The sequence below is a fragment of the Homo sapiens genome, chromosome 18 (genome assembly GCF_000001405.40).
Source record: "Homo sapiens chromosome 18, GRCh38.p14 Primary Assembly".
In the NCBI taxonomy this organism is placed as follows: Eukaryota; Metazoa; Chordata; class Mammalia; order Primates; family Hominidae; genus Homo; species Homo sapiens.
The window spans coordinates 28,412,493-28,423,634 of record NC_000018.10 but is presented as its reverse complement, the minus strand read 5'-3'; the positions used below and the strand labels follow the sequence as shown (position 1 = coordinate 28,423,634).

At 38.6% G+C, this 11,142-nt stretch overlaps 2 annotated features.

The window, feature by feature from the left end:
• Positions 731 to 1,426: an enhancer, noted in NCBI's record as "NANOG-H3K27ac-H3K4me1 hESC enhancer chr18:26002173-26002868 (GRCh37/hg19 assembly coordinates)". NCBI's record gives its function as "activates a minimal SCP1, AML or CMV promoter by ChIP-STARR-seq in naive H9 embryonic stem cells {active_cell/tissue: H9 hESC(naive)}" and the evidence as "EXISTENCE:reporter gene assay evidence [ECO:0000049][PMID:30033119]".
• Positions 1,427 to 2,122: an enhancer, noted in NCBI's record as "NANOG-H3K27ac-H3K4me1 hESC enhancer chr18:26001477-26002172 (GRCh37/hg19 assembly coordinates)". NCBI's record gives its function as "activates a minimal SCP1, AML or CMV promoter by ChIP-STARR-seq in naive H9 embryonic stem cells {active_cell/tissue: H9 hESC(naive)}" and the evidence as "EXISTENCE:reporter gene assay evidence [ECO:0000049][PMID:30033119]".

Here is an 11,142-nt window from a genome sequence, read left to right as displayed (position 1 = left end):
AGAGATTGGAAGAATTGATATTGTTAAAATGGCCATACTGCTCAAAGCAATGTGTAGAATCAATGCTATTCCTATCAAACTGCCAATATCATTCTTCATAGAATTAGAAAAACACTATTCTAAATTTCTTATGGAATCAAACAAGAACCTGAATAGCCAAAGCAATCTTAAGCAAAAGAATAAAGCTGAAGTCCTCACACCACTCAACTTCAAATTCTACTATAAGGCTACAGCAACCAAAACAGCATGTTATTAGTACTGATTTTTGACAAAACTGCAAAACATTTCAGTGGAAGAAGGATATTCTTTTCCACAGATGAGAGTGGTGCAATTGGATATCCATAGCCAAAAAAGTAAATATCAATCTAAACCGCATACCTTATACAAAAAAGTAACCCTGATGGATCATAGATCTAAATATTAAACATAAAACTATAAAACTTTTAGAAAAAAAGTGTAGGAGAAAATCTTCAGGAGCTAGAAAATGTTTTTGAGCTTTACACCAAAAACATGACCCACAAAGAATCAGCACTGGTAAATTCGACATCATCAAAATTAAAATATTCTGTTCTACAAAAGACTCTGCTGAAAGAATTAAATGACAAGCCACAAACTGTGAGAAAACATTTACAAACCGTGTATTTGACAAAAGACTCATATCTAGAATATTAAATGATTATAAAACTCAACTGTAAAAAAAATAATGCAATTAGAAAATGAGCAGAAGATATAAAGAGAGATCTCCTGGAAAAGGGTCTGTGGATGGCAAATAAGCACAGGACAAAATATTCAACATCACTAACCATCAGAGAAATGTAAATGAAACCACAATGAGATATAACGACACGCCTATCAGAAAAGCTAAAATAAAAATCATGACAGTACAGAATTCTGGCAAGGATCCTGACAAACTGAATCTCATACATTGTTTACAGGAATGTAAAATGGGAAAGTTAGAAAGTTTCTTTTTAAAACTAAACATACACTTACCACATAACACTACAATCTCATTTTGGGCATTTATCCCAGGGAAATAAAAACTTATATCCACATAAAACCTGTACATCTCTTTCGAGCCAAGATGGCCGAATAGGAACAGCGCCGGTCTACAGCTCCCAGCCTGAGCGACGCAGAAGACTGGTGATTTCTGCATTTCCATCTGAGGTATCGGGTTCATCTCACTAGGGAGTGCCAGACAGTGGGCGCAGGCCAGTGGGTGCGCGCACCGTGCACGAGCCAAAGCAGGGCGAGGCATTGCCTCACCTGGGAAGCGCAAGGGGTCAGGGAGTTCCCTTTCTGAGTCAAAGAAAGGGGTGACGGACGCACCTGGAAAATCGGGTCACTCCCACCCGAATATTGCGCTTTTCAGACCGGCTTAAAAAATGGCGCACCACGAGACTATATCTCACACCTGGCTCGGAGGGTCCTACGCCCACGGAATCTCGCTGATTGCTAGCACAGCAGTCTGAGATCAAACTGCAAGGCGGCAGCCAGGCTGGGGGAGGGGCGCCCGCCATTGCCCAGACTTGCTTAGGTAAACAAAGCAGCCGGGAAGCTCGAACTGGGTGGAGCCCACCACAGCTCAAGGAGGCCTGCCTGCCTCTGTAGGCTCCACCTCTGGGGGCAGGGCACAGACAAACAAAAAGACAGCAGTAACCTCTGCAGACTTAAATGTCTCTGTCTGACAGCTTTGAAGAGAGCAGTGGTTCTCCCAGCACGCAGCTGGAGATCTGAGAACCAGCAGACTGCCTCCTCAAGTGGGTCCCTGACCCCTGACCCCCGAGCAGCCTAACTGGGAGGCACCCCCCAGCAGGGGCACACTGACACCTCACACGGCAGGGTATTCCAACAGACCTGCAGCTGAGGGTCCTGTCTGTTAGAAGGAAAACTAACAAAGAGAAAGGACATCCACACCAAAAACCCATCTGTACATCACCATCATCAAAGACCAAAAGTAGATAAAACCACAAAGATGGGGAAAAAACAGAATAGAAAAACTGGAAACTCTAAAAAGCAGAGCACCTCTCCTCCTCCAAAGGAACGCAGTTCCTCACCAGCAACGGAACAAAGCTGGATGGAGAATGACTTTGATGAGCTGAGAGAAGAAGGCTTCAGACGATCAAATTACATTGAGCTACGGGAGGACATTCAAACCAAAGGCAAAGAAGTTGAAAACTTTGAAAAAAATTTAGAAGAATGTATAACAAGAATAACCAATACAGAGAAGTGCTTAAAGGAGCTGATGGAGCTGAAAACCAAGGCTCGAGAACTACGTGAAGAATGCAGAAGCCTCAGGAGCCGATGCGATCAACTGGAAGAAAGGGTATCAGCAATGGAAGATGAAATGAATGAAATGAAGCGAGAAGGGAAGTTTAGAGAAAAAAAAATAAAAAGAAATGAGCAAAGCCTCCAAGAAATATGGGACTATGTGAAAAGACCAAATCAACGTCTGATTGGTGTACCTGAAAGTGATGGGGAGGATGGAACCAAGTTGGAAAACACTCTGCAGGATATTATCCAGGAGAACTTCCCCAATCTAGCAAGGCAGGCCAACGTTCAGATTCAGGAAATACAGAGAACGCCACAAAGATACTCCTCGAGAAGAGCAACTCCAAGACACATAATTGTCAGATTCACCAAAGTTGAAATGAAGGAAAGAATGTTAAGGGCAGCCAGAGAGAAAGGTCGGGTTACCCTCAAAGGGAAGCCCATCAGACTAACAGCAGATCTCTCGGCAGAAACCCTACAAGCCAGAAGAGAGTGGGGGCCAATATTCAACACTCTTAAAGAAAAGAATTTTCAACCCAGAATTTCATATCCAGCCAAACTAAGCTTCATAAGTGAAGGAAAAATAAAATACTTTACAGACAAGCAAATGCTGAGAGATTTTGTCACCACCAGGCCTGCCCTAAAAGAGCTCCTGAAGGAAGCGCTAAACATGGAAAGGAAAAACCGGTACCAGCCGCTGCAAAATCATGCCAAAATGTAAAGACCATCGAGACTAGGAAGAAACTGCATCAACTAACGAGCAAAATAACCAGCTAACATCATCATGACAGGATCAAATTCACACATAACAATATTAACTTTAAATGTAAAAGGACTAAATCCTCCAATTAAAAGACACAGACTGGCAATTGGATAAAGAGTCAAGACCCATCAGTGTGCTGTATTCAGGAAACCCATCTCACGTGCAGAGACACACATAGGCTCAAAATAAAAGGATGGAGGAAGATCTACCAAGCAAATGGAAAACAAAAAAAGGCAGGGGTTGCAATCCTAGTCTCTGATAAAACAGACTTTAAACCAACAAAGATCAAAAGAGACAAAGAAGGCCATTACATAATGGTAAAGGGATCAATTCAACAAGAAGAGCTAACTATCCTAAATATATATGCACCCAATACAGGAGCACCCAGATTCATAAAGCAAGTCCTGAGTGACCTACAAAGAGACTTAGACTCCCACACATTAATAATGGGAGACTTTAACACCCCACTGTCAACATTAGACAGATCAACCAGACAGAAAGTCAACAAGGATACTCAAGAATTGAACTCAGCTCTGCACCAAGCGGACCTAATAGACATCTACAGAACTCTCCACCACAAATCAACAGAATATACATTTTTTTCAGCACCACACCACACCTATTCCAAAATTGACCACATAGTTGGAAGTAAAGCTCTCCTCAGCAAATGTAAAAGAACAGAAATTATAACAAACTATCTCTCAGACCACAGTGCAATCAAACTAGAACTCAGGATTAAGAATCTCACTCAAAGCCACTCAACTACATGGAAACTGAACAACCTGCTCCTGAATGACTACTGGGTACATAACGAAATGAAGGCAGAAATAAAGATGTTCTTTGAAACCAACGAGAACAAAGACACAACATACCAGAATCTCTGGGACGCATTCAAAGCAGAGTGTAGAGGGAAATTTATAGCACTAAATGCCCACAAGAGAAAGCAGGAAAGATCCAAAATTGACACCCTAACATCACAATTAAAAGAACTAGAAAAGCAAGAGCAAACACATTCAAAAGCTAGCAGAAGGCAAGAAATAACTAAAATCAGAGCAGAACTGAAGGAAATAGAGACACAAAAAACCCTTCAAAAAATCAATGAATCCAGGAGCTGGTTTTTTGAAAGGATCAACAAAATTGATAGACTGCTAGCAAGACTAATAAAGAAAAAAAGAGAGAAGAATCAAATAGACACAATAAAAAATGATAAAGGGGATATCACCACCGATCCCACAGAAATACAAACTACCATCAGAGAATACTACAAATACCTCTACGCAAATAAACTAGAAAATCTAGAAGAAATGGATAAATTCCTCGACACATACACCCTCCCAAGACTAAACCAGGAAGAAGTTGAATCTCTGAATAGACCAATAACAGGAGCTGAAATTGTGGCAATAATCAATAGTTTACCAACCAAAAAGAGTCCAGGACCAGATGGATTCACAGCCGAATTTTACCAGAGGTACCAGGAGGAACTGGACCATTCCTTCTGAAACTATTCCAATCAATAGAAAAAGAGGGAATCCTCCCTAACTCGTTTTATGAGGCCAGCATCATTCTGATACCAAAGCCGGGCAGAGACACAACCAAAAAAGAGAATTTTAGACCAATATCCTTGATGAACATTGATGCAAAAATCCTCAATAAAATACTGGCAAATGGAATCCAGCAGCACATCAAAAAGCTTATCCACCATGATCAAGTGGGCTTCATCCCTGGGATGCAAGGCTGGTTCAATATACGCAAATCAATAAATGTAATCCAGCATATAAACAGAACCAAAGACAAAAACCACATGATTATCTCAATGGATGCAGAAAAAGCCTTTGACAAAATTCAACAACCCTTCATGCTAAAAACTCTCAATAAATTAGGTATTGATGGGACGTATTTCAAAATAATAAGAGCTATCTATGACAAACCCACAGCCAATATCATACTGAATGGTCAAAAACTGGAAGCATTCCCTTTGAAAACTGGCACAAGACAGGGATGCCCTCTCTCGCCACTCCTATTCAACACAGTGTTGGAAGTTCTGGCCAGGGCAATCAGGCAGGCGAAGGAAATAAAGGGTATTCAATTAGGAAAAGAGGAAGTCAAATTGTCCCTGTTTGCAGACGACATGATTGTATATCTAGAAAACCCCATTGTCTCAGCCCAAAATCTCCTTAAGCTGATAAGCAACTTCAGCAAAGTCTCAGGATACAAAATCAATGTACAAAAATCACAAGCATTCTTATACACCAACAACAGACAAACAGAGAGCCAAATCATGAGTGAACTACCATTCACAATTGCTTCAAAGAGAATAAAATACCTAGGAATCCAACTTACAAGGGATGTGAAGGACCTCTTCAAGGAGAACTACAAACCACTGCTCAAGGAAATAAAAGAGGATACAAACAAATGGAAGAACATTCCATGCTCATGGGTAGGAAGAATCAATATCGTGAAAATGGCCATACTGCCCAAGGTAATTTACAGATTCAATGCCATCCCCATCAAGCTACCAATGACTTTCTTCACAGAATTGGAAAAAACTACTTTAAAGTTCATATGGAACCAAAAACGAGCCCGCATTGCCAAGTCAATCCTAAGCCAAAAGAACAAAGCTGGAGGCATCACACTACCTGACTTCAAACTATACTACAAGGCTACAGTAACCAAAACAGCATGGTACTGGTACCAAAACAGAGATATAGATCAATGGAACGGAACAGAGCCCTCAGAAATAATGCCACATACCTACAACTATCTGATCTTTGACAAACCTAAGAAAAACAAGCAATGGGGAAAGGATTCCCTATTTAATAAATGGTGCTGGGAAAACTGGCTAGCCATATGTAGAAAGCTGAAACTGGATCCCTTCCTTACACCTTATACAAAAATCAATTCAAGATGGATTAAAGATTTAAACGTTAGACCTAAAACCATAAAAACCTTAGAAGAAAACCTAGGCATTACCATTCAGGACATAGGCATGGGCAAGGACTTCATGTCCAAAACACCAAAAGCAATGGCAACAAAAGACAAAATTGACAAATGGGATCTAATTAAACTAAAGAGCTTCTGCACAGCAAAAGAAACTACCATCAGAGTGAACAGGCAACCTACAACATGGGAGAAAATTTTCGCAACCTACTCATCTGACAAAGGGCTAATATCCAGAATCTACAATGAACTCAAACAAATTTACAAGAAAAAAACAAACAACCCCATCAAAAAGTGGGCGAAGGACATGAACAGACACTTCTCAAAAGAAGACATTTATGCAGCCAAAAAACACATGAAAAAATGCTCATCATCACTAGCCATCAGAGAAATGCAAATCAAAACCACTATGAGATACCATCTCACACCAGTTAGAATGGCAATCATTAAAAAGTCAGGAAACAACAGGTGCTGGAGAGGATGTGGAGAAATAGGAACACTTTTACACTGTTGGTGGGACTGTAAACTAGTTCAACCATTGTGGAAGTCAGTGTGGCGGTTCCTCAGGGATCTAGAACTAGAAATACCATTTGACCCAGCCATCCCATTACTGGGTATATACCCAAAGGACTATAAATCATGCTGCTATAAAGACACATGCACATGTATGTTTATTGTGGCATTATTCACAATAGCAAAGACTTGGAACCAACCCAAATGTCCAACAATGATAGACTGGATTAAGAAAATGTGGCACATATACACCATGGAATACTATGCAGCCATAAAAAATGATGAGTTCATGTCCTTTGTAGGGACATGGATGAAATTGGAAATCATCATTCTCAGTAAACTATCGCAAGAACAAAAAACCAAACACCGCATATTCTCACTCATAGGTGGGAACTGAACAATGAGATCACATGGACACAGGAAGGGGAATATCACACTCTGGGGACTGTGGTGGGGTGGGGGGAGGGGGAGGGATAGCATTGGGAGATATACCTAATGCTAGATGACGAGTTGGTGGGTGCAGCGCACCGGTATGGCACATGTATACATATGTAACTAACCTGCACAATGTGCACATGTACCCTAAAACTTAAAGTATAATTAAAAAAATTAATTAATTAATAAAAAAATAAATAAAAAACCTGTACATGATTGTTCATAGCAGCTTTATTTGCAATAGCCAAAAGATGGAAGTAAAGCGTTGTGCAATGGGTGAGTGGTTAAACTGCGGTCCATCTATACCATGAGATAAAAAGAATGATCCATACTAAACAATAACAAAAATAAAAAGAGTTATTGATACATGCAACCACTTGGATGGTTTTCAAGTGCATTAGGCTGAGTGGGGGGAAAAAAGCCAGTCTCCAAGGGTCTCATCCTGTATGATTTCATTTGAATAACATTCCCAAAATGATAAAATTGTAAATATAGAGGACAGATTAGGGGTTGCAGGACTTAGGGATAATTAGGAGAAAGGGGTGATGTAAGGAAGAAGGAGTGAGTTTAAAGGGGAACAGGATGGAGATATTTGTAGCGATGGAACAGTTTTCAATCTTGATTTCAGTGGTCAGAAATCTGCACTTGTGATAAAAGACATAGAACCATGATTACACAATGATGTCAATTTCCTACTTTTGATATTGTCCTATAGTTATGTAAAATGTAGCCACCAAAGGAAACTGGGTAAAGGGTACAGGGAACCCCTCAGTACTAGCCTTGCAACGTCTTTTGCTGTAATTATTTCAAAATAAAAAGCTTTTTAAAAAATAATGTAAGCCTCAATTGTTCCATGCCTTTTTCTATTTAATTAAACACCATACACTTCATGCTAAAAATTCTATGTCTGGGTAAATAAAGCCCATAAGTAGAGTTTTCTGATTTTTTTTTTCTGAATTAGAAAATGAGGACTTTAGAACAGGTCTTCAAGTGAAATCTAAGGAAAATCTTTCACTCTCATGGTCACAATGTTGATATAGTTTAAATGAAGGTTTTGATAATTAGAAATATAAAATGTTTAAAGGTGAGCCACTTAAACAAATATCTATGTGAATGTAGACCATATTAACTTATACAATGATGAGGCTGGAAATGTATGCTTAGCGTGGACATATTATATGCAATTAAACATCAGTGAAATGCATATGGAGATTTTTGCATGCCTAATTTATTTGTTCATAAATTCTTTATAACATTTCATTAAATTAAATTAAACCACACAATAATTACCACTTACTATTTAATTCAACCTGCCGACAGGTAATTTTTAATGGTCAATATAGGTAGATAGAAACTGCTAGCCTACTAGCACATGAATGGTAATTTGTGTAATCTTCTTAAATGGAAAGATTCCCTGAGGAGCCACAACAAGGATGCATAGGCTAATTTGATCAACAAACCATACCTTGGACATCTAGGGACTAAATGATTTCTTAGTAGCTTCCCACCCTAAAATGCTGGGAGAAAGACAGTGCAACATCAGGTGACATTTTTGTCTCAAGAGGACAATAGAGAATAGCTTAATTACTGAGTAGAAATCTTCATAGTTGGATACAATTCTACTTGTCAGAGACTCTAAATCAGGTTTTTAATACTGCTCTCTGCAGTTACCTACAGATATAACTAATGCAAAATTGAAAATAGTATAGATTCAGATAGATTAAATACAAGCATTTATTTCCACTATCTACCCCAAATCCAATTGTAATACAAGAAGGATGTGTAGAAGAGAATAAATGTGTAACAACACTGGAAATGAGAGTGAGCCTTTAGCAAACATGATATTTTGATGAATGTCTGGACAATAAGCAAATGTAATAACATCGACAAAGCAGAGCAAAGAGAACCTGAAAAAAATACAGACAAAAGCTGATGTGAAAGAGAGAGCCTCTGCTTTGGTGGCATTTTCAAATATTTTCATATTTTCTTTGTTTTTATTGTTACAGTTAACTTTTTAACTTTTGCAGAATTTGTTTATGTGTAGAGATACATTTACTCTTTTCACAATTGCACAGGCAATTTGTCAGCATCATTTATTGCGTAGTCTACCTGACTTACATGGGTTCTTCCCAAAAGCAAACCTGGGACAGAGGTCATACATTTTCTTAAGAATGTGTTCTCAGGTGGCAGGAGTGAGTGACAGGCATCAAACAAGGACTGAAAGCCAATTCAAGCATTATCTAACATGCCACCACTTCAGCTGACTAGTTACCCAGTGAGGGACATTCTGTGATGCCTTACGACATGTGGCTCAGAACCATTCATCTGAGACACAAAAGAGAGGGATGTTAATCCATTAGTTCCCATACCTCTTCACGTGACATGTATCGGGGTCAAGTGGACTCATGGGATTATCAGAGAAACCCCAGGGCAGGAAGCAAGAGATACTCAAATCACACTTGTGATGAGGAGCTAAAAGCAAGGAGGTCAAAACCTGTGCAGATCTGTGTACCAGAGCAGGGCTGCAATCAGAGGTCAGGAGAAGAGGACATAAGCTAAGACCCTAGTGGTGTCACATATACATTACTTTGACACCTGATTTGAAGTACTCACTTAACCTTACAATAAATTTCCACATATCTATGAAGTTTCTTCCCAGAGTCTTCAGTATGTTCCACTGATCAATTTGATTATTTCTATGCCAACAAAATAAGTTTTTAAAATTACAGTAGCTTTATAATGTAAGTTGATATCTGATAGAAACATATCTTTCATAATTGTATTTTTTCAAATATGTAATGGCTATTTTCTTAGCTTATATTACAAAGGCACTTAAGCATCACTTTATTAGGAAACAAAATTCTGTTAAGAGTTGAAATTGTATTGCTTTGAACTCATAGATTCATTTGAGGAGATTTGAGAACATGAGCCAATTCCTGCAACAAATCTCTTTATATATCTGTATTTGATTGTTTCTGTGTCCCTGGAGACTCCTGTACAAGCGGTATGAAATTAAAAGGTACTAATTTAAAGCTTACATGTATATATTGTTGAAACTCAACAATAGCCATAGGAATTGCTTAGAACTTAATCCAACAAGATCTCCCTCCCCACACAGAGAAGAGTGTTTTATCACTGAGATTGCTAAAAATTTTCAGCAAATGGTGATAATGAGAAGACTGACTTTTAGTTTGCTTTGTTATTATTTTATATTATCTACAAGTTAGCATCTCTTTGTCACCTACATTGGGGACTGGTTCCTCTTTTTTCTCACTCTTGCTATGTCACTCAGTCGCTGATACAAATTTAAGAGTTGCCAAACTATAGACACTATTTAAACTCAGAAGAGTGACAGAGATTTTTCAAGGGGGAGCTTTTTTAGTGGTAACTAAAGGAATCCAGGATAGAATCCTGAAGATCTTTAAGTGTAGTAGCAATGTAGAGGAAAGAAGAGATAAGTAGAAAGAAAAATGCAAAAAAAGGTATGACAAATAGGAATACAATCTATAGGATGATTGCAGGGAAATGAAAGTGTTTTAGAACTAACAATTTTGAGAGTGATTTGCACAGCAGGGCCAGGTCTTTCATATAACTTCAGAGCACTTAATCTGTATGTGCTTGCTTACTGTTATGTGTTTGTGAATTAAGGAAAAATATTGAGTGGTTTTCAATGTGTTTGTGTTTTGGTGAATCAAAGAAATAAAACACTGTTAATTGGTCTTACAAATACCTTATGTATAACCAGTTGTAAGTATCAGTTCTCCAGGCTGAGCTTTTTACTCTTATGTATTTTGATGCTGTTTAGAATTTAGCCTCATAAAGCTCTATTGGATTGAAACCAGGTTGTGAGTGTTGATGATGAGTCTCTTTGAAAACACATGAACAATTACCAAGACTAACTTTGTTATACTTCTGACCCAGACATTAAGCTGAGGGCTGCCTTTGAGAGATCTGGGATGGCTTTCGGAAGCTTTATGTGTTTACCCACCTTTCCCCAAGGATCGTCACTCGGAGAGAACAGCTGCATCAAATTCCAGAAAACAAACTTCTAAACCACAAAACCACTAGGCACTGGATGAGTTGGGCCAACACACTATGTGAAAGAGAATTATAAATTCAGGCAGCATTGCTTTGGCACTATTCTATTCAAATTTGAAGCATGTTTTATGGTTATAATTAAGAGCACAAATATGTCACCAAAGATCACGTGTTCAATTTTTAGCAAA